Source organism: Homo sapiens, chromosome 17, assembly GCF_000001405.40.
Source record: "Homo sapiens chromosome 17, GRCh38.p14 Primary Assembly".
NCBI classification, from domain to species: domain Eukaryota; kingdom Metazoa; phylum Chordata; class Mammalia; order Primates; family Hominidae; genus Homo; species Homo sapiens.
The window spans coordinates 51,257,722-51,280,503 of NC_000017.11; the positions used below are offsets into that span (position 1 = coordinate 51,257,722).

Genomic DNA, 22,782 nt, shown 5'->3' on the forward strand with positions numbered 1-22,782 from the left:
GGAACTCCTTATTAATTAAAATGTTAAAAACACTATTATTACACCTCTACTGATTCTTTTTCACAAGCTGAATTCTAATGAGTAGATTTAGAGGAAATATTTTATGTCAAACATTACATAAAGTTAGAAACTGGATGGTTAAAAAGCATGACGCAACAACGTAAGGCACTATGAATAAATACTTATTCAAGACAGATGTTGCCATAATTTGCAAGGTACTCACAAGCAATCAGTATGGGGTTTTAGATAGATAGAAGCTACTTGTTATTCAGAGAAGGAGGTGGTGCAAAAAAAAAAAAAAAGTACAGCTATTTTCTTTCTAAACACTCTGGTGTTGAGGTAAACAAATGAAAAATAAAATAACAGTCTAAGTCCACAAGAGCAAAGCAACAGTCTCTAAGTTATAAGAGGAGGAGAGAAAAATTGAGTCTAACCTTTTAAATAGGAGACTGGGGCTTAAGGTGAAATTTATTTGCTGGCTTTTAAATCACATGCATTATTTCTACATTATACCTGTTATGTCTTGACACCCACTTCACCACATTAGAGAGTAATAGGTATATCCAAGATTCTTAGGCCAATAAAACTACTTTTAGAGGCAGCATAGCTCACCAAATGAAGGAGAATGTTAGAAAAACACCCAGTGACAATAGTTTCAACTATCTCAACCACCCAGTGATAAGTACTGGTGCATGCTAATATAAGGAGAATTAAAAATATTGTAAACTCTAAACAAGTATTAAAATGGTTCGTAAATTTCAAATCTCATAAAAGATAGTTACTTAAAAAAAAAAAAGAAGGAGTAAAAGCATTTGGAAGAGAGGCCCTTGGAGGAAAGACTAGCTTCCGAGGAACACAGGTCAAATACGGGTGTGGGCGGTAATCATCTAATCATCCCTCTACCAGGTGATGCTTCTAACCACTTCAGTTTTAGACATCCTTAGAAGTGATTTAGGTAATAAACAAATGTGTTTTGTGATACAAGAACCACGGAGATGACGCTGAAATTTCTAACTTCAAAAAGATGCACTCCTAAGAGAAAACAGGCACGAAATTCCCATATTGTAATTCTTTAGCTTCCTGTAGAAAAACATCTTCAGGCATGTAAGCCAGCACACTTGACACTGACCCAGCAAAGTTTTCGGCTAGCCCTCACTATCTCTCAACCCCCCTTCCTCCACTTCCCTGCTGTTCTTTCTTGGCACACAAAATATAGGCCAATGAGCAGTGGGTGGGTGAGGAGGATGTGAGAGAAAATTTGAGAAGTAAAAAAAGGAGCAACTTAACCAGGACATGAATGAGACTGAAGGGTCTAATAAGGGTAGGCAGACAACAATTAGAACTACTGAAATATGGGCTTTCCTGGGCAGTAGTGAGCTCTCAGTGCTTTTAGGGGTGTAAGCAGGGTTCAGACTACCTACCACTTGTCAGAGAGGCTGCAGAGGGGACGGCTGCTTTGGATGACCTCTAATGTCTCTTCCGACTCTGAAATGTTAGGATTCTTATTTCACAAAGGAGAACGCAATGGTCACAGAAGTCCACCGACTTGAAACCCTTTTAAATATGCAGCCTTGGAGGCTGCTTCCCAAACACCACTCCCACCTCTCCCGCACGTGCCCACCCCGCCCCCTTTCAATATTTCCACCTCCACGTGCAAACCGCCTCGCGGCACTGCCCCCAAGGCAGATAGACACCTTCCCCTGCAAAGCAACGAAACTGTGCTCCCCCTCCCCGCCAAGAAGAGAGGACTACTCCACTCTCCCACCCTGGGTGGCTAAAAAAGGAAAAGTCTCGGATCCAGCCTTTCCCCCCTAGCCAGAGCAGGGGGCGGGGGCAGGACGCAGAGAAAAACTTTCTTCTCGAATTTTTCTTCCAAAGGGTGGAGGAGATGGAGAGAACCCCAACGAGTCCAAGGCTGACGGGGTGGGGGGAGGGGAACCCCTGAATCGTTTAACGGCTGGAAGGGGGAGGGGGGCTCCGGAGGTTGAGAGGGCGTGGGATGGAGAAGCAGGCCAGGGAGCGGGGTCAGGGAGCTGCGGGGTTCCTGGGGTCGGAGAGCTGCAGGCGTCCCCCCCACCTGGCACACAAAGCGGCTGCCGCGCTCGGCTCTCACCAGATCCTTTGTGTTTTCCATCAGGGCCTCATGGGTAGGGGTTGTCCGTGCTCCCCGAGCCCGCGGCGCCCCCTCCCCGGGCTGGGGGCAGGTGCCTCTCCCCGGGACTGCGGCGACTACAGGGGGCCCCCGGCTGGGCCCAGACCGGTGGCGGGTGCAGCAGCCCCCGGATTTCCCCCCTTTAACTCGGGTGGCCCCAGGATATCAACAACATTAGCATAGCCCTCCCTCCCCAGCGCGCCTGCGCCGTGACCCGCGCCCCGATTGGCCCACTTCCCTACATACCCTCCTCTCTCGCTTCCACCGTGGGACCCTCTGCAGGCTCCGTACTCCAAGGACCGTACCAAGACGAAGGGTGGAAAGCGTATTGGGGCTTGTGTCAAGTCAAGTGGTTACAGCCAAGAGGAAAAGCAGAAGTTCCATTCAGCCGTCCCAGTGTATAGTCGGGGTTTCTTGCGCTCCTTTCAATATGTTGCAGCTGCGAAATTGTGTTGGAAAAATTTTCCACTCCAGTCACGCCGCTTCCCCCTACACCCGGAAGATTGGCCCTCCCGGAGGAACTCCCACACGGGGCGGGGCTGGGTAGGGGAGCGGGAGTTACGTAGAGGGAGGGAGTGCTGGTCACGTGGCAAGAGGCTGCGCAGGCTCCTTCCGGCCCCCGGGGCTTCGGCGGCGGCGGCCCGCGAGGGGCCTGGGCGCATGCGCAGCGAGGTTCCACGTGAGCGCCTGCGTTTCTCCTCAAACCTAACGATGCCGCCGGAGCGGAGGAGACGAATGAAACTGGACCGGAGAACCGGAGCGAAGCCGAAGCGGAAGCCCGGAATGAGGCCGGACTGGAAAGCCGGAGCGGGGCCAGGCGGGCCTCCCCAAAAGCCTGCCCCTTCATCCCAGCGGAAACCGCCGGCCCGGCCGAGCGCGGCGGCCGCTGCGATTGCAGTCGCGGCGGCGGAGGAAGAGAGACGGCTCCGGCAGCGGAACCGCCTGAGGCTGGAGGAGGACAAACCGGCCGTGGAGCGGTGCTTGGAGGAGCTGGTCTTCGGCGACGTCGAGAACGACGAGGACGCGTTGCTGCGGCGTCTGCGAGGCCCGAGGGTGAGGGAGGCCGCGGCGCGCGGGCTGGGCGCACTCGGGCGGGGCGCGCGGTGGGCGGTGAAGCTCCGGGGGGCGGAGCCTGGGCGACCTGCGGCGGCGGGGAGCGCTCAGGTGGGAGGGAGCCCGAGAACGCGGGCGCGGAGGGTCGCAGCTGCGGGTCCCTCGCCTCCCTGCTCCAGACTGAAAGTGCCTGGAGGGCGGGGACCGCGTCTTTCTCCGCCCCTGGAGGCGCCGCTGCTCGGGTATCTGCTTTGCGAACTGTGGTCGTGAGCATCTTTCGCTGCTGCTCGACTCCGCTAGCCTCTTCCCAAACTGAGGGTGGTCTTTTGATCACCTGCCTCAGTTCCTTGTGATTCAGGAATTCGATTTCGTTGATGGAATCAATTCGTGGGCACGGGCCTGGGCATCTCCGTTGTAACTATGTCCCCATGTGACTATGAGACCCACCATGTTTTGAGAATGATCGTGTATTCCGTTCATTTAGCAAATATTGGTGAACCTGTTAGTTGCCAGATACCCTTTCTGGCAATGGCAAACCCTGCGTGATTGATCATACTTTTTGCACACATTTTGCTATCCCTTTAAATTCTATACCAGGCTTTTCTTGAGAGAGTCCCGGACATTGTTCTAGGCACTGGAGGAGACACAGCAATGGACAAAACTGACAAAAATCCCTGCCTTTTGGCGCTTGTGTGCTAGTGGCAGAGACAAGATAGAGGAGATAAACGAGTAAACTTCAGGTTTGTTGGTGACAAGTGCTGAAGAGAAAAAAGGACATTCGGGAAAGGGAGATGGGCGTGTGTAGAGGCCTGTGAAATTTTAGATAAAGGGGGCAGAGGAAAGCTCACCGAGAATTACCCAGGCCATGTTTATTACACAAATGCTGACCTAGTTAATGTCAGCTGCTTACCAGAGCCGCCTTCGGGTGCTTGTAGGAGAAGTGGCAGCAATCTTTTTGGGAAGTACAGAACTATTACTGGAAACATGCTGAACTGTGCGACGGTTTTGTCGTCTGGAAAAGGAACAGTGTACGGAGGTGGGAGCTGTTGGGTTTGAAGGCTATTAGACTAGTAGTAGAGCAAGTAGAAACCACTTGGACATTTCTATCATTGGTTTTGGGAAGCTCAAACTCACTTCAAGGGATATTCTGTGGTCTAGGTTTAGATTTTTTTTTTTTTTTAGACTCGCCCTGTCGCCCAGGCTGGAGTGCAGTGGCGCCATCTCGGCTCACTGCAACCTCCACTTCCTGGGTTCAAGCGATTCTCCTGCCTCAGCCTCTGGAGTAGCTGGCATTACAGGCGTGCGCCACCACGCCTGGCTAATTTTTTTTTGTATCTTTAGTAGAAACGGGGTTTCACCATCTTCGCCAGGCTGGTCTCAAACTCCTGACCTCGTGATCCGCCCGCCTCGGCCTCCCAAAGTGCTGAGACTACAAGTGTGAGCCACCGCACCCGGCCTAGGTTTAGATTTGATAGTATAAACTTTATGGTATAAATTTATAACTTTAGAATTTAGATTTAATGGTATATTTATTTTTTACTTATTTAGAGATACGGTCTAACTTTGTCACCCAGACTGGAGTGTAGCGGCACCTATTAGTCTTCCATCTCCCTTTTGCTAATAGTAACTGGTTGCTCTTCTTGTTGGTCACAGATAAATTACACCTGCACAATTCTCCGAACACTTTAAACTCAGAAGTCAGCTTCATCCTCCTAGGCTCAAGTGATCCTCCTGCCTCTGCCTCCCAAGTAGTTAGCTGGGGCCACAGGTGCACACCACACACCCAGCTAAATTTAAAAATTTTCTGTAGAGACGAGATCTCCCTATGTTGCCCAGGCTGGACTCGAACTCCTGGGCCCAAGCAGTCCTCCCACCTTGACCTCCCAAAGTGTTGGGATTACAGGCATGAGGCATTGCGCTCTCTGCTGGTATAAAGTTTCTTAAGGAGGTAGGGGGTCAAAAACAGATTGGGAAAATGGAGATATCTTTGACTCTAGTTTGCCTCCGGTCCTGTAATTTCTGTAGTTCTGACATTTCTCCTCCTTTTTTCATCTGCAGACTCATCTTTTGTTCTTGTCTTACTTGGTGTTTTCCTTCCTGCGTGTTGAGTGTTGACTTTTTCTCCTTGACTGTTCCATCTTGCCTCACCTGTCCAGTCGGTGCCATTCTCTGATTTCTCCATTTTCTGCCTCTGCTTCCAGCATTTGCAATGGTAGCATTCCATCCCATTATTTCATCAGAGAGTGGTAGAAAAAACATTCTATGAGCCATTTGGCTGTAAGGCCTATGTGTCTGCAGTCATGGGATAGGAAAATCTCAGTGCTTGAGGGTGTTTTGTCTGCTGTAGGTTCAAGAACATGAAGACTCGGGTGACTCAGAAGTGGAGAATGAAGCAAAAGGTAATTTTCCACCTCAAAAGAAGCCAGTTTGGGTGGATGAAGAAGATGAAGATGAGGAAATGTAAGTTGCCTAACTTTTCTTCTGAATCCCTCTGTACACTTAAAAAAGTTATTTTGCAGATTTTAAAATCATTCTTTTTACCAATTTGTGATTATGTGAAGATTTGAAAAATATTTGAAAGTATAGAAAAGATCTTTCATGGTTCCTGATCCCACCACCGAGGGAGAACTGCTGTTAGCATGTTGTCACACTTCTGTCTCAGTCTCCTCTTTGCTGTATACAGTAGCTAAGAGAATACAGTGTTTGAAGTCAGATCTCGATTTGCCTCCTCTTTTGGCCAGTTTCTAATTGACCATGGGCAGTTTGGAACCTACATTTTTTCCTTTGTGAAATGGGCACAATGATAGTAACTACATCAGAATTTTGTTGGGATTAAACAAAATAGTACTTGTAGAACTTTTAGCACAGTGCCTGAAACTGAGTAAAGGCTAAAAAGAAGGTAGCTCACACCATAGGAACTGTCATGGATGAGAATGTACTGTATGCTTGATTTAACATTTTGACTTTTTCTACATAAAGTTACTTTGTAAACATTTCTCCCTACTTAAAAAAAATAGACATTTTAAAATGGCTATGTTGGAGTCAATTATGTGAATTAACCATAATTTACGTGGCTATTGTTGGGTAGATTTTCTTTTTCCCTTTTTTTTTTTTTAATTATTTTTTTTGAAACAGAGTCTTGCTGTTTCACCTAGGCTGGAGTGCAGTGGTGCGATCTTGGTTCACTGCAACCTCTGCCTCCTGGGTTCAAGCGATTCTCCTGCCTCAGCCTCCCGAGTAGCTGTGACTACAGGCGTGTGCCACCACACCTGGCTAATTTTTGTATTTTTAGTAGAGACAGAGTTAGACGGAGTTTTGCTACGTTGGCCAGGCTGGTCTTGAACTCCTGACCTCAAGTATACACCCGTCTCTGCCTCCCAAAGTGCTGAGATTACAGGCGTGAACTGCTGTGCCCAGCCTTATTTTTCCCTTTAATGCAGATTATTTCAGCATTAATGTTTATCACCTCTTTATGTATAAACCTTTCTTTATTTTCTAATTTATTGCCTTAAGAAAGATTCTTTGAGGTAGAATTACTTAATCAAAGAGCACAGTTATTTTTAAGGTTCTTGATAAGTACTGCCAGACTGCATGCTATGGGGCTCTACCAGTTTGCCTTCCCATTGAAAGGTGTCAGTTTCAGTCCATTCTTAGACACAATGGTTTATTTGTTTTTTTTTTCCAGACTCTGTCAGTTTGGTAGTGGGTAATATCTCTACCTAGTTTGTTTTGAGGAAGTGTTTTTGTGTTTAGTCATTGTCTTCTTTTTTTTTTTTTTGAGACTCTCATCCTTTCATCCAGGCTGGAGTTCAGTGGCGCGATCTTGGCTCACTGCAACCTCCGCCTCCCAGGTTCAAGCGATTCTCCTGCTTCAGCCTCCCAAGTAGCTGGGACTACAGGCACATGTCACCATGCCCAGCTAATTTTTGTATTTTTAGTAGAGACGGGGTTTTACCATGTTGGCCAGGCTGGTCTCGAACTGTTGACCTCAAGTGACCTGTTTGCCTCGGCCTCCTAAAGTGCTGGGGTTACAGACATGAGCAACCACACCTGGCCTCGTTTCTTATAAATATTCTTTATTATGTCCTTGTCTATTGGAGACTTTTTAAATAATCTTGGTATATTAGTTCCTGACATATTGAGAATTTCAAACCTTTATATGTTAGATTTATTGTAGGTTTTCCCCAGCTTTCTGTGCATAGAAGTTTTGAATTTTTATATAGTCAAATCTGTGAATCTTTTCCTTCATTATTTTTACTGCTTTTTTAATAGTAAGTAGTTAACAGAGAGAGACAAATGTTTATCTATATTTTTACTTCATAGTATTTTAAGGTTTGCTCTTTTTTTTTTTTTTGAGATGGAGTTTTGCTCTTCTTGCCTGGGCTAGAGTGTAGTGGTGCGATCTTGGCTCACTGCAGCTTCTGCTTCCCAGGTTCAAGTGATTCACCTGCCTCAGCCTCCTGAGTAGATGGGATTACAGGCTCCTGCCACCACGCTGGACTAATTTTGTGTTTTTAGTAGAGGCAGGGTTCCACCACGTTGGCCAGGCTGGTCTCGAGCTCCCGACCTTCAGTGATCCGCCTGTGTCTGCCTCCCAAAGTGCTGGGATTGCAGGCATGAGCCACCGTGCCCGGCCTTTTTTTTTTTTTTTTTTTTTGAGACAGTCTCACTCTTTTGCCCAGGCTGGAGTACAGTGCCACAATCTGGGCTCATTTCAACCTCTGCCTCCTGGGTTCAAGTGGTTCTTCTGCCTCAGCCTCCTGAGTAGCTGGGATTACAGGTGTGTGCCACCCCGCCCAGCTAATTTCTGTATTTTTAGTAGAGATGGTGTTTCACCACGTTGGCCAAGATGGTCTGGATCTCTTGACCTCGTGATCCACCTGCCTCAGCCTCTCAAAGTGCTGGGATTACAGGCGTGAGCCACCACGCTGGGCCTAAGGTTTGCTCTTTATGTATTTAACTCTTTGATTTACTTGGGGTTTATTTTGGAGAATTTCATAAACTGTGTGCAGATAAGTCATGATGAATTTTCTCAAATAGTAGCTCTCCAAAGTGTAAACCAGATGATCTGAAATGTTGGCAACTACTTTTTTGTTCTTTTAGGAAGAACAGAGAAGATGCATTTGAAATGTTCACATCTTAAAAATCTTGACCTATATTGTTTCATTAAACATTTTTCTCCAAGTGCTAAAAGCAGCAGCTATTTATATTAACTCTTTAAAAGTTATTTAAAATATGCTGTTCTGTTTTTGTAGGGTTGACATGATGAACAATCGGTTTCGGAAGGATATGATGAAAAATGCTAGTGAAAGTAAACTTTCGAAAGACAACCTTAAAAAGAGACTTAAAGAAGAGTAAGTGTCTTTTTTCATATGATTTACCAAGAGGTGTATGTAACCAATGCCCAGTCATTAACCGTAACCGCTTCTTGTGTAGTTTTCCATTTTGAAACAGTAAGAGGATTGCTATTGTGGGCAGTGACTAAATTTCTGTAGTTTTTTTTAGGGGAGAGGGGACAAAACACAGACACAAAGAAAATTTGGAAAAAAATTCTTACCACTCAAATATAATCAGTGATAATATTGCTTACTTGTTCATTTGCATATGGTACACCATAATTTTATAATATGAACATTTTCAAAAATTTAAATGGCCACCACCTGGGTTCAATGGTTTTTAACATTTTGTCATATTTGCTTTGTGTATTTGGGGGATGTGTGTGCTTTCCCAATGTATTTGAGAGTAAGGTACAGATAATGCGACACTTAACTCATTAATTTGTCAATGTGCATCTCTTAAGATTAAGGATGTTTTCCTTCATATTCACAATACCATTGTCATACCTAAGAAAATTAACAGTTTACGGCTAGTCCATGTTAGTTTCTCCAATTGTTGTAAGGTGCATACATTTTATTTGGATTTTATGTCCTTTAAATTTATATATTTTTTTGAGGTAGGATCTCACTCTGTCACCCAGGCTGAAATGGAGTGGTGCTGTCATGGCTCATTGCAACCTCTATCTCCTGGGCTCCCCATAGCTGGGACTACAGGCATGTACCACCTTAATTTTTAAAATTTTTTTGTAGGAATGGGGTTTCACTATGTTGCTCAGGCTGGTCTTGAGCTCCTGGACTCAAGAAATCCTCCCACCTCAGCCTCCCGAGTAGCTGGGACTGCAGGTGTGTGCCACCATGCCCAGCTAATTTTTGTATTTTTTTGTAGAGATGAGGTTTTTCGCCATGTCGCCCAGGCTGGTCTTGAACTGGGCTCAAGCGATCTGCCCTTCTTGGCCTCGCAAAGTGCTGGGAATACAGAGGTGAGCCACTGTGCTCAGCCATTACCTATCTTTTAAGTGTTCAGACCTGTTGTCTTGTAGAATATCCCACATTCTGACATTTTAAGACTCCTGTTTTTTATTGAGGTGAAATTCACATAACAGTGTTAGGCATTTTAAAGTGTAAATTTGGTGGCATTTAGTATATTTAGAATGTTGTGCCACCACCTCTTCAATCTAGTTCTAAAACTTTTTTTTTGGTTTTTTTTTTTTTGGTTCTTAAACATTTTTATCACCTCAAAAGAAAACTCTCCATTAATTAGTCACTTTGCATTTCCTCTTCCCTCAATCTGATTATTTTTTCTTTGTGTTGTTTAACTTGTTCTGTCATCTGTATTTCCTGTTAAGTTGGGCTTAAAGTCTTGATTAGAATTCAATTACGTATTTTGGTGAGGAGTATCTTAAGATGATGTGTACCAGACACTGCCCCTCAAAGTCCAGTTGTATCAGTCTCTTTCAAGTCTGATCTTTTTCTCAGCTTTGTGTCAGGGTCTTATAAATGCCTTTAGGGGAAAATTTGTGGTGGTGATGGGGTTCATCTTGCTTATATCCCTTCTCTGAGGGATCACAGTCCTATGCTGTCATCCAGTTTCCGAAAAAATTTGTTTCATATATTTTGTCCAGGTTTCTAGTTGTTTATGGCTCGTGGGCTTAGTTTGGTGAGCTAGTCTGTACTTCTGCATCAAAAAATTAAAACAACTCTCTTTGCCCTCTTCCAGGTACCAGTTGTTGTTTTTTTGTTTTTTGTTTTTTGTTTTTTTTTTTTTGAGATGGAGCCTGGCTCTGTCGCCCAGGCTGGAGTGCAGCGGCGTGATCGCGGCTCACTGCAAGCTCTGCCTCCCGGGTTCACACCATTCTCCTGCCTTAGCCTCCTGAGTAGCTGGGACTACCAGTAGATGGGACTACAGGCACCTGCCAACACGCCCAGCTAATTTTTTTGTATTTTTAGTAGAGACGGGGTTTCACCATGTTAGCCAGGATGGTCTCAATCTCCTGACCTCGTGATCCGCCCGCCTTGGCCTCCCAAAGTGCTGGGATTACAGGCGTGAGCCATGGCGCCCGGCCCAGGTACCAGTTCTTACGAACACAGCTATCATGCTTCTGTTAAAGCTTACTTTTTCCAGAGTGAAGTGATTCTGTTTTATTCAGATGATATATAATGAAGTTTTGTATATTCTTAACAATCTGGTCAGTTTCTTTTAGACGTGTTCTAGTGTGTAGTCTATGTACTGTGGCATAAACCACAAAGAGACTTCTTTACATAGTCCTGATATCTGGGATGTGTTGATATGAACAAATAAGACAACCATGTAACTAGATGGAAATAATTAACAAAAAATATGTATCCAGGACTAGTTTAAGTGGGCAGAGGTTCATGGAGGTTTCCAGTATAGGCAGGTTGGGACTGTTCTGTGTGAGTAAAGATAATAACTTCTGTTCTTAAAGATAGTTACTTCTTTGGAAGAGAGTCCATACGTATTCTCAAGGGTGATTCAACGTATATGCTTTAAATGTATCAAGCTTTATGGACATGTAGTGGTTGCCATAAATATATTTTTCAAATATTTTTGCTTAGATTCCAACATGCCATGGGAGGAGTACCTGCCTGGGCAGAGACTACTAAGCGGAAAACATCTTCAGATGGTGAGCGTTGATATTTCTGTTTAAATTAGTACATAAGTCCCTGTTCCTGTTCGTTATTATTTGAGCTTTCTTATGAGGCTCATTAAAACCTGGCATTTCTTGCCTGGCTCGGTAGCTCACGCCTGTCATCCCAGTGCTTTGGGAGCCCGAGGCGGGTGGATCGCTTGAGTCCAGGAGTTTAAGACCAGACCGGGTGACATGGCGAAACCCCATCTCTACAAAAAATACAAAAATTAGCCAGGCCTGGTGGTATGTTCCTGTAGTCCCGACTACTTGGGGGGCTGAGGTGGGAGGATTGCTTGAGCTAGGGAAGACTAGGGTGCAATAACCTGTGATAAGTGATAAGTGCCACCGTACTCCAGCCTGGGTGACAGAGTGAGACTCTGTCTCAAAAAAAAAAAAAAAAAAAAAAAAAAAAAAAACCAAAAAAATCTGTTTTTTGACTGTAGGTTTTAAATTTAACTTGTACCATGGCTATTTTCTGCTTCTTCGATCTTTTGAGTTTAGCTATTATAAATATGGATGGCTTAGCTAAAATCTGGTTTGTGTGCTTGGAGTTACATGTTTTAGACTTGGAATTAACCTTTGAAATCCTGAGAGTCCGGAGTATATCCTCTCACATCATGTGGGAGCTCCTTCCTTAGCATCCTTCATGTCCGTAGAGCTTCAGTTTGATTATGACCACCTCCTTTGTCCCCTTTCTTCCTACCCTGTTAGTCCTCATGGTACGTAAATGCAGGGAGTCCATACAAAGAGCCAGTGTTTTATATAATTCTATTAGAAAAGACAATCTGTTACTAAGTAGAAATTGACCGTCTTTGTTTCTAGCCATTTGCTTTTAGAGGTTGAAGGAATCTTAGTGATGTGGCCTGACTTTATCCACTGCAGTAATCTTTTCTACATTATCCTCTGCTTAAATATATCAAATAATGTATTGTGTGTGTGTGTGTGTGTGTGTGTGTGTGTCAGTGTCAGAATCTCACTCTGTCACCCAGGGCTGGAGTGCAGTGGGGCAATCTCAGCTCACTACAACCTCTGCCTCCCGGGTTCCAGTGATTGTTTTGTCTCAGCCACCTGAGTAGCTGGGGTTACAGGTGTGCGCCATTACACCTGGCTAATTTTTGTATTTTTAGTAGAATCGGGGTTTCACCGTGTTGGCCAGGCTGGTCTTGAACTCTTGGCCTTCCAAAGTGTTGGGATTACAGGCATGAGCCACTGTGCCTGGCCTAAATAATGTACTTTTTACTAAACTGTTTTTTCCCCTTCTTCCCTTTTCTTTAAGAACTGTTAGACAGTTTTTCCTATTTTGAAATGTATGTCCCAACAAGTCTCTACTCCTACGGTTTGAAACATATAGATTATCTTCTTTTTCTCTCATTTGGGAAGCCTCTTTCCATGTTTGTTTTTTAATATGTTAAACATCCCTCGTTATTTTGACCATTTTTTTGGTGGCGTACTTCTAGACCCTAGATCACCAGTTTGCCCTCCTGGATGAAACATAATTTTATTATCCATTTCAGAATGCTGCATTTATAGAACCCCACAACATTTTAGATTCCTGTAATTTTGGGTATGGTTATGCTAGCTGTTGAAACAAAATCCCACAGATCCCAGTGGCATAATCCAATTGAAGTTGGTTTTTTCAGCACATAAAATTGGGGTGGTAGGAAGGTGATGGTTTACTTTAGGGACCCAAGTTTATAGAAGTTCTGTCATCTTCAGGTTGGTTCTTCCAGAGTTGCCTAAGATGTTGACATCCACTTGGCTTATAGGAGGAGAAAGAGGGGATTTTTATTGGCCTTTCCTGGAAATGGTACAGGATACTTTTGCCTACATTTTGTTGGCTGGAACTCAGTCATAAGGCCACACTAGCTGAGAGGATCCTAGGAAGTGTAGTTTGGCTTTGTGCACAGGAGAAAAAGGAAGTGGATTAAGTCAGCAATTAGTCTGCTACAGTATGGGATATGCTTGTCTAACACATTCATTTTGTACATGAGAGAGGTTCAAAGAGATAGTGACTTGTTGAAGGTATACTTATTGTTGACAGAATGGTGACTAGCACTCAGCTTCATGATTATCTCCAGTGTGTTATTTTTATCTGTAAATATTTACTGAGTTTCGTTATAAGAAAATTCTCCCTTTTGAACATAACCACAGCTCCAAAAATCAACAGCAATTCATTAATATTATGAATTGTTGTATTGTGTTGCTCTTTGTTTATCCCCTCTCCCTATCATTTTAGCTTGCTTTGTATTTTGCTTAGACTTCATAGTACTTTTGAACTGGCTTGATGTCTTCTGTAAGTTTTGGAAATTCTCACCTGTCTTCAAGTATTGTTTCTGTTCCAGTCTTCCTTTCTAGATTATTAGTAATACGTATATTAAATGTCTTCCACCTATTTTTTGGTTTGGTTTTTTTTTGAGACAGGGTCTCACTCTATCGCCCAGTCTGGAGTGCAGTGACGTGATCTTGGCTCACTGTAGTCTCGACCTCCTGGGTTCAAGCAATCCTCCCACCTCAGCCTCTGGAGTAGCTAGGACTACAGGCATGTGCCACCATGCCCAGCTAATGAAAAAAAAAATTTTTTTTTGTAGTGACAGGATCTTATTATGTTGCCCACATTGGTATTCAGTGTTTTTTATCCTTTTTCTTTCTGTACTTCAGTCTGGGTATATTTTTCTGATTCGTTTTCTAGACCACAAATTCTCTCTACAGCTAATTTTGATGTACTGTTAAAAACATCTATTGGAGGCTTAATTTAATTTTATTTGTTATTATTTTTTGAGTTAGTCTTGCTCTGTCGTGTAGGCTGGAGTGCAGTGGCACTACCTCCACTCACTGCGACCTCTGCCTCCTGAGTTCAAATGATTCTCCTGCCTCAGCCACCCAAGTAGCTGGGATTACAGGTGTGCACTACCATGCCTGGCTAATTTTTGTATTTTTAGTAGACACGGGGTTTCACCATTTTGGTCAGGCTGGTCTCGAACTCCTGACCTCAAGTGATCCACTTGCCTCGGCCTCCCAAAGTACTGGAATTACAGATATGAGCCACCATGCCTGGCCTATTGGGGGCTTACTTTTAATTACGTATTTTTCAGCTCTAGAATTTCTTTTTCAAATATTCTACATTTCTGGCTCAATTTTGAATCTTGTCTTTCATTCTTAAATATATTAAACATAGTTTTTTTTGTTGTTGTTGTTTGTGTTTTTTTGAGACAGAGTCTTATTCTGTTGCCCAGGCTGGAGTGCAGTGGCGCAATCTCAGCTCACTGCAACCTCTGCCTCCTGGGTTCAAGTGATTCTCTTGCTTCAGCCTCCCAAGTAGCTGGGATTACAGACATAAGCCATCATGCCCAGTTAATTTTTGTATTTTTAGTAGAGACGGGGTTTCTCCATGTTGGCCAGGTTGATCTCTGACTCCTGACCTCAGGTGATCCACTCACCTCGGCCTCGCAAAGTGCTGGGATTACAGATGTGAGCCACCGCGCCTGGCCTGAACATAGTATTTTTAAGGTTTGTGTCTGATAATTCCGTTGTTTAGATCCCTGTGGGGATTGTCTGTTTTTCCTTGTGGTTTTTAGTCAAGTTATCTTGTCAATATTTGCCTGGTTATATTTCATTGAGTGGTGGACATTGCATATGAAAAATAATGTAGATTAATTAGATCTAGGATGATGGTTTATATGTTTACTTCTAGGTAGGTAGCTTGGCAGAGGACACTAGTAATCCCAGAACGTTTTATTTTAATGAGGAATTGTGAAGCAGAATTTCAGTTTTGGGAAGATTTTCTTATAATTCTTTGATTTCGTCTTTAATCCTAGTGGTAGCCCTTTGTGGCCGCAATCCAAAATCTGGTGGCTTACCAGACCCTGTCAAGAAGCTTAGAGCTAGTTTTTCCCTTCTTAGCTCCGCAAGTGTTTTAAGTTTGCTCAGCTTCTTAGCTGTCTCCACTGGAATCATCAGTCATCTCCAGGGGGAAAAGCAGCCCTATTTGCTCTTTTTGAAGTTCTGATACATAGATTGCTGACATTGATCATTCAGCTAAAAGTTCTGGTTTTTATTCATGTGAGTTGTTAAACTAGATCAGTAGCCAACCTGTTGCCAATTTTGCCATAATTATGAGTTGCTCTTTTTAAATGAAATGCTGGCTTTAAACTTTTATTTCACTTCATCTTGTTTTAGTAACCATCTGTGTATGTGTTAGTCTTTCATTCTAGAGTTAAACTTTGATTTTAACTATGGATGTTAAGCTTTGTGTCATCTTTTTCTTCTCCTTTAAAATTTTTTTTTTTTTTTTCCTGTTTTGCTTTTGCCAGTTGCAGCTTTAAAAAAAGCAATTGAGGTAGGGAGGCTGGAAAGGGAGTTGATGTTGAAAATATATTCATAGAAGTTTGGGGTAGGTAAAAGGGGCAGCTCATTGATTCTAAAGATCAGCCTTCTGGGTTTGTTTGACTTAGATGAAAGTGAAGAGGATGAAGATGATTTGTTGCAAAGGACTGGGAATTTCATATCCACATCAACTTCTCTTCCAAGAGGAATCTTGAAGGTGAGAGTCAGTGAAGTTGGGGGATCCTATCTAACTACTTACCTCTGCAGTTTAATTTGCTTCCCAGTAGCAGATGTATGGATTCCTATTATCTGTGGGGTTAAATATGTTTGCTGTCATTTTGCCCTGGTAAATACTTATGTTATTGTTTTTTTTTTTTCCTTTTGCAAAAAATGTTCTAGAGGTATTATGTTCCTATTGCTTGAGCTCAGGAGTTTGAAGCTACGGTGAGCTGTGATGGAACCACTGTACTTTAGCCCGGGTGAAAGCGAGACCCTGTCTCTAAAATAATAAATAAATAAATAAATAAATAAATAAATAAATTTTCCAGTAATTCTAGGAATCCCGTTTGGTTTATCTTCATTTTCATTGGCATCAGCCTAGTTCATACTGCTGTCATCTCTTATCTGGCATATTGCAGTAGCTTTGTGACTGGACTCTTTACTTCTACTTTACCTCTTTTTAAATCATTCTTTGTATGGCAGCCAGAGGGATCTTTTAAAAATAAAACATCAGGTCATGTCACTTTTCATTGCTTTTTGAAAACTTCTGAATTCCTTATCGTATTCTACACTGCCCTTTACAGTCTGGCTTTTGCCTGGATCCTTAGCCTCATATCAGACCTGTTTCCCATGATTTCCCACTTGAGTCACACAAGCCTTTTTCTGTTTCTTGGACATGCTGCTAGGTCCTTTCTTGCCTGTGAACCTTTGCTCTTTCTCTTTTGTTCTGCCTGCCTTGTCTTCAGGAAGTCCTAATGGCTAGCTCATTCTTACCTTTCTGCTCAAATGGCACCTTAGACAAGACTTTCTCTAAAGTGGTCTACACTATTCACTTTCTAACTCATCACTATGTCTAGCATGTTCATTATGGTAACCAGCTGCCTATGTAGCACAGTACTTTAGTTAAATATCTGTCATACTAACGGGCAGTACTTTAGTTAAATATCTGTCATATTAACAGATCTCTCTGTGACATAGATATCTTTTGTTTGTTTGTTTGTTTTTTTGAGACAGAGTTTTGCTCTTTTGCTCAGGCTGGAGTGCAAGGGCGTGATCTCGGCTCACTGCAACCTCCGCCTCCCGGGTTCAAGCAATTCTCCTGCCTCAGCCACGCAAGTAGCTGGGATTACAGGCATGCACCACCATGCCTGGCTAATTTTTTTTTGTTTTTGTTTTTTTGGTAGAGACAGGGTTTCTCCATGTTAGTCAGGCTGGTCTCGAACTCCTGACCTCAGGTGATCTGCCCGCCTCAGCTCCCAACGTGCTGGGATTACAGGCGTGAGCCACCGCGCCCAGCGACATAGGTCTCTTTTCTTATTACACCATGGCAGGAGTATTTAAATGGGGCAGGGGAAACTATTATGATAAATTAGATACAGTGATTTTGTCTTGCACCTTATGAGGACAATTCATTTAGCTCTTTACGGGTGAATTCACCTCCATTAAAAATGTAGTTACCACATGGCCGGGCGCAGTGGCTCACGCCTGTAATCCCAGCACTTTGGGAGGCCGAGGCGGGCAGATCACCTGAGGTTGGGAGTTTGAGACCAGCGTGACCAACATGGGGAAACCTCATCTCTACTGAAAATACAAAATTAGCTGGGTGTGGTGGCACATGTCTGTAATCCCAGCTACTTGGGAGGCTGAGGCAGGAGAATCACTTGAACCCAACAGGCAGAGGTTGTGGTGAGTCGAGATTACGCCATTGCCCTCCAGCCTGGGCAACAAGAGTGAAACCCAGTCTCAAAAAAAAAAAAAAAAAGTTGTAGTTACCATAAAAATTTAACTTGGTGGTTACAAACAAAACACATACTTTTGTTTTTAACTGAATTTTAAAAATTCAAGGGGAAACCTGTAAAAACAAAATAAATAACAAAATAGTCCAGGTGATGGATGTGAGATTACCATTACTTTAAACTTGGAACCATGTACCCTAAGAGAATAAAGCAACCTGTGCCAATTGAAGAACTGTGGGGACAACTGTGCAGTGCCTCTTGCATTTGTGCCATGAATGCAAAGATGCCAGGTGCCAAAGTAGAAGTTTTAAGTGAAATTTCCTCAGAAGTGAAAGTCTCTTAACACAAATGGATGTATTTTGGGGAAATGACTACATACTAGTGCTCCAAGAATGAGTAATACATTCAGACTTCTAGATATGGAAAGCACTTTAATGATTTAATCTTTTTATTTGAAAGATGGTAAAAATGGATTCTTTTGTGGTAAAGTGACTTGCTAGTTGGTGCCAGAGCTGCGGTTTTTTTGTTTTTTGTTTTTTTTTTTTGAGTTGTGTTTGGTTACCATTCCAGTGCATTTTTTTCCTTCATTATAAACTGTAATGTCTTTTCTTCTTACTCTAAAGAAAATAATGTTTATTCATTTCAATTGATAAAATCCCAGCTTTCATTTCCTATAGATGAAGAACTGCCAGCATGCGAATGCTGAACGTCCTACTGTTGCTCGGATCTCATCTGTGCAGTTCCATCCCGGTGCACAGATTGTGATGGTTGCTGGATTAGATAATGCTGTATCACTATTTCAGGTATGCATCTTTATTTACTTATTTATTTCTAATGCATTATTTTTATTTAAGGACCAGACATTTGCAACCCCAAATGCAAAAATACTGAAAAAGATATTCATAGCTAAAACATCATAGCCCGAAGCATAGCTAAGTCTCACAGAAGTGACAGAGTTCATTTACTTGGAAATACAAAACAGAACATCCAGTCAGCATACTGCCCTTGCTTCTTGCTCCAAAGTCTGTCGTCACTGTTTTCAATCACAGCTGCTCACCCCTTGCCTGTTCACAGTTTGGGTCGCTCACCATCCCTTGCCCACTCACATTTTTATTGAATGCACCTGTATGACTTCAGTGTACAAGGAACCATAATAATAGGGGATTTGGAGTAAAATTTTTCTTCCACTGAATATAAAAGTTCAGTAAAATAGTGGTTTAAAATAATAGATTGAGAAGTGAAGAATATATTAATCATGTTAGTGAATATATTCTCTCTACAAAAACGTGTTCTTTTAATTTTCTGGTGAGTTATTAGAGCAAAGCGATAATATAACCTCATGACTTTACTGGGTCTTCCATGTTTAATCTAACACTGATGTACATTGATGGTTTCTTGGGTTGCAACAATAAACAACAGACCTGGCCCTTCACTTCAGGATGTCACTCTCTGATGGGGGTATAGATGGTGAACACATGGTCACAAATGTAACCATTCAGTCCTGCAGGTGCTTCACAGTATCTGCTCTTGGATAGGGTATCCCAGTTTTCTTTTAGAGAATAACACTTGGTCCAGTTCATGTAGTTTGGATGGGACTGACTCTTATCTCCTTATCTGTGGGTGGACAAACTCAAGAAATTAGTAGGGCAAGGTATGGGGAAGGAGCGTGGAGCTTCCGTGCCTTCTCAGGGCACGCCACCTCCTCAGCACCTCCGTGTGTTCAGCAACCCAGAAGCTCTCTGAATACCTTCTGTTAAGCCTTTTTATGAAGGCCTCTTGACATAGGCATGGTTGATTAAATCACTGGCCGTGGCTGCTTAAGTCAGCCTTCAGCCCCTTGGATATGTATTTTTAAATGAACACTTGTAGTGAAAAGTATATACTACCAGGATACAGGGTCTGTGGAAATAATCAAAAGAACCATTTTGTACTTCTTTATAGGTTGATGGGAAAACAAATCCTAAAATTCAGAGCATCTATTTGGAAAGGTTTCCAATCTTTAAGGCTTGTTTTAGTGCTAATGGGGAAGAAGTTTTAGCCACGAGTACCCACAGCAAGGTTCTTTATGTCTATGACATGCTGGCTGGAAAGTTAATTCCTGTGCATCAAGTGAGAGGTAAGATTTCTGTTGAATGCACACAACCAGTCATTCCCCCCAAGGTGAGTTTATGTAACAGTGTTTACAACACTTTTTTCACTCCATAGGATTCTTAAAAATAAGAGTTTCTTTAGGTATAGTGTTTGGAAAATGTCTTTGTGCTTTTGAGATAACACGTTTGAATGAAACCAGTGAACTTTTTTACTGAACACTTACGGAATGATCATAATTTGGAAATATATATTCCCCCTACACCAGACAAGCAATTGCAAATACTTGGCTGTAAAGTTAGCAGTTGATGCAGCAGAAAAAGCATGAGCCATGGAGCTAGAAGACCTGGATTCCATTTCTTTGGACAAACTGTTTCACCTCTCTGATCTTCAGGAAACTTGGATACTCTGTAGTTTTAGTGTTAGTTATAATAAAATTTTGATTTATATTTAAAGGGAATAAAGCACTGCTTTTGGAGGTACTTCTGTATTTTAAAGAATGAACTACTTAAAAAATAACGCTTTTTTAGGAGGTGAAAATTTATCTGCCCTCTACCATACCCATTCTTTTCCTATATTTCCCTGCTCCTTTATATCCCAAAATACACCGACACCTTCATGCATCCTTTGGGAACCAAAGCCCTTCTAATGAGGTTGTCTGGCTAATCTCAGGAGGTAGTGTTGGCGTATGGCACGGCTCACTGGTGCTCTCCCTATTAAACTGTACATGCATGTGGCTGGAAAGGACAAGAGTAGCTCTGTACAACCATTTTTCTACTAGTGGTTGAAAGTGGATGGGGCCAACTTTAGAAACATTTATGATGTTTATCTTTAGCATTTCCAATCTTTTCTTTCCTGTGTTCCTGACACTTTGATCCTTTCCAAGTAGATCCTTGGTTTACCCTAAGGCAGAGCTTCTCAGAAGTAAATGTGCACGTGAATCACCTGGGGGTCTCATTAAGCTGCAGATTCTGATTCTGTAGGTCTTAGGTGGGTTGAGTCTGCATTTCTGATTCTCTCAGGTGATGGTGATACTGTGTGGTCCATGGACCTCACTTGGTTAAAAAGTCTTAAACCATCTTCTCATATTGAAATAGAAAACAATATTTAGTAGTTACTATTTTTACATGTCATTTCACTATTCAAAAGTAATGGATTCTGGCATCTCCTTGTCTTGCATCCTCTTGAGAGAAAGCGCACCATGCGTTGGCCAAGATACAGTTAGTGATCTTTACCATGGATCTGCTAGGTGGGCAGGAGTGTGTGTCCAGTCACCAACTGCTTTGGAGACATGGCATTGATCTTTCCTTCCCAGTATTTCTCCTTTTTCTGTTTTCACATTTCCACCGCCTGATACTGTGCTGTTAGGATTAGGTCTGTAGGTGTTTCCAGTTGTAGCTTCACATGGTGTTAGAACAAGCCTCCTGTCCTACCTCATCACGTAATGATATTTTCTTTATGTTTGGAACTACTTCAGTATACTTTAGTCAGTACATACGGTTTATTCAGAAATTTGGATTAAAATTACCCTTAATAGGCATAGTGGAGTGCCTTTCATAGTAAGGAGACTAGTCATCAGCAGAAGTAACCCCAGTGATTGGAAATGTAGTATGTGTCTGAAATAATATTGGGGAGCATGAGTCCAAGCAAGGGAACTAAGATGTAGTCTTTGGGAGACAGGACTAGAGTGGGATGTCCAGTTTGTAGTAGTGGAAAGTAGCCTTAATTTGTATTTTCCTGTAGTGGAACAAGGGTCCTTAACCAGATTTTTGTAACTCCTTTTTCTCTAATTAATATTGTAACTTAGTAACTTAAAATTTTAAAAATATAGACATATATTTTTGACTAGGCAATATATTCACACGGTGTTAAAAATCTACTATGTAGAAATGAATGGATAGTGAAAACTCTCTTCTGCTCTGTCTCCCTGTCTTCCTGCTTTCCTTCCTTGGAGGTAGCCAGTTGTATGCATTCTGATGCATCCTGTTAGGTAACTTTTTAATGAGTAACTTGGCTCTCTAAGCATTTTGATATCAGGAGGAGTCCCCTGTATAGTCAATATGAACCTTTCAGTCATGGAAAAAGAGACATGTCCTTTTGTAAGTAAGTTGACTGTATATACCTAGCTCTCATATATGATTTGGTTACATGTGTCACATCCAGAGAAGCTAGTCAGTCCTTAAGTAAACTGACATATTGTGAAAAGTTTTGGGGTTTTTTTTGTTTTTTGTTTTTGTTTTTGACTCACAAAGTTAAAGATGAGATTCCTGTCCATCATGAGCTGCTTAGTAAGTGGCCAGCAGCTAGTTTATATATGTTTTTATGTTTTTGGCTGTCTCTAGTGGCAGTGTATTTCCCTTCTGGTAATGAACTTTGTGACAAAGAAGTATAATTTATCCTTTTAGTAAATTAGAGGTATTACTGCATATATTTGGAAAATTAGTTGATATGTTTACTGTTTGGAGAGCTGAGTCTCTGGCCTGCAGTTAAAATGGTGAATGCTAACCAGGACAAAGAAGAGAAGTTTGTTAAGTGCTTTGTAGTGACCTTATGTTTGGGTCAAACTCAGTGATGCCTGCGTTTAGACTTATTCGGGGTCTGAGCCAGGGTTTTGTTTAATTTGAGCCACTTACGTATTTTAAAAAGTAAGAAACTCATTTGTCAATAGATGATAGTTTTATTGAAAACTATATAAAACTTTATTTAATTGCTTCATTTCCTATTTTAGGTTTGAAAGAGAAGATAGTGAGGAGCTTTGAAGTCTCCCCAGATGGGTCCTTCTTGCTCATAAATGGCATTGCTGGATATTTGCATTTGCTAGCAATGAAGGTAAAGCATTATTATTGCTTCTTGTTCTTCTCCCACAAGACACTAGTGTAGGGATAGTCTTGCACCTTAACTCAGTGTGTCCTTAAATCTGCATCTCCAAGTAGAGGAGCACAGGTGGGACTTGGAGAGAAGTTGTGGGCAGTTGGGGGAGAGCTTTTGATTACAGGGAAAAATAAAGTTGAGTAGGTGCTAGAAAATAGAGAACTAGGTTGTTTTTACTCTACATTGTGTGATTCTTCTGTATACTTTCTAACAGTTTGATAAATAATATTTATTGTTTTAGACCAAAGAACTGATTGGAAGCATGAAAATTAATGGAAGGGTTGCAGCATCCACATTCTCTTCAGATAGTAAGAAAGTATACGCCTCTTCGGGTAAGACAACGACATGAAAGAAGC

The 22,782-nt window shown here is 42.3% G+C and overlaps 2 protein-coding genes across 23 annotated transcripts in view, besides 4 other annotated features; one reads left to right on the top strand and one right to left on the bottom strand.

The window, feature by feature from the left end:
- The window catches only part of MBTD1 (mbt domain containing 1), an 83,534-nt gene extending 80,297 nt beyond the window's left edge, over positions 1-3,237 (bottom strand). For 12 of the 20 annotated variants that reach the window (XM_047436320.1, XM_005257468.6, XM_011524924.3 and 9 more), the window contains exon 1: positions 2,114-2,328. In XM_047436320.1, the coding sequence (XP_047292276.1) occupies positions 2,114-2,134 (21 nt within the window). In that variant the 5' untranslated portion in view covers positions 2,135-2,328. Of the gene's footprint in view, positions 1-1,421; positions 1,486-2,077; positions 2,329-2,398 lie in introns of those variants that run through there. The other 8 variants (XM_011524926.4, XM_047436322.1, NM_017643.3 and 5 more) reach the window with 5 other exon arrangements.
- Positions 2,066-2,385: a silencer, noted in NCBI's record as "silent region_8726". NCBI's record gives its function as "represses an Ori minimal core promoter by ATAC-STARR-seq in GM12878 lymphoblastoid cells {active_cell/tissue: GM12878}" and the evidence as "EXISTENCE:reporter gene assay evidence [ECO:0000049][PMID:35858748]".
- Positions 2,726-2,835: a silencer, noted in NCBI's record as "silent region_8727". NCBI's record gives its function as "represses an Ori minimal core promoter by ATAC-STARR-seq in GM12878 lymphoblastoid cells {active_cell/tissue: GM12878}" and the evidence as "EXISTENCE:reporter gene assay evidence [ECO:0000049][PMID:35858748]".
- UTP18 (UTP18 small subunit processome component) overlaps positions 2,825-22,782 on the top strand; it is a 37,388-nt gene continuing 17,430 nt past the window's right edge. For all 3 annotated transcript variants that reach the window (NM_016001.3, XM_011524870.3, XM_006721930.4), the window contains exons 1-9: positions 2,825-3,205; positions 5,553-5,665; positions 8,461-8,559; positions 11,116-11,183; positions 15,641-15,729; positions 18,145-18,270; positions 19,409-19,583; positions 22,284-22,384; positions 22,668-22,758. In NM_016001.3, the coding sequence (NP_057085.2) occupies positions 2,864-3,205; positions 5,553-5,665; positions 8,461-8,559; positions 11,116-11,183; positions 15,641-15,729; positions 18,145-18,270; positions 19,409-19,583; positions 22,284-22,384; positions 22,668-22,758 (1,204 nt within the window). In that variant the 5' untranslated portion in view covers positions 2,825-2,863. The remainder of the gene's footprint in view (positions 3,206-5,552; positions 5,666-8,460; positions 8,560-11,115; positions 11,184-15,640; positions 15,730-18,144; positions 18,271-19,408; positions 19,584-22,283; positions 22,385-22,667; positions 22,759-22,782) is intronic.
- Positions 3,186-3,375: a silencer, noted in NCBI's record as "silent region_8728". NCBI's record gives its function as "represses an Ori minimal core promoter by ATAC-STARR-seq in GM12878 lymphoblastoid cells {active_cell/tissue: GM12878}" and the evidence as "EXISTENCE:reporter gene assay evidence [ECO:0000049][PMID:35858748]".
- Positions 3,846-3,895: an enhancer, noted in NCBI's record as "active region_12402". NCBI's record gives its function as "activates an Ori minimal core promoter by ATAC-STARR-seq in GM12878 lymphoblastoid cells {active_cell/tissue: GM12878}" and the evidence as "EXISTENCE:reporter gene assay evidence [ECO:0000049][PMID:35858748]".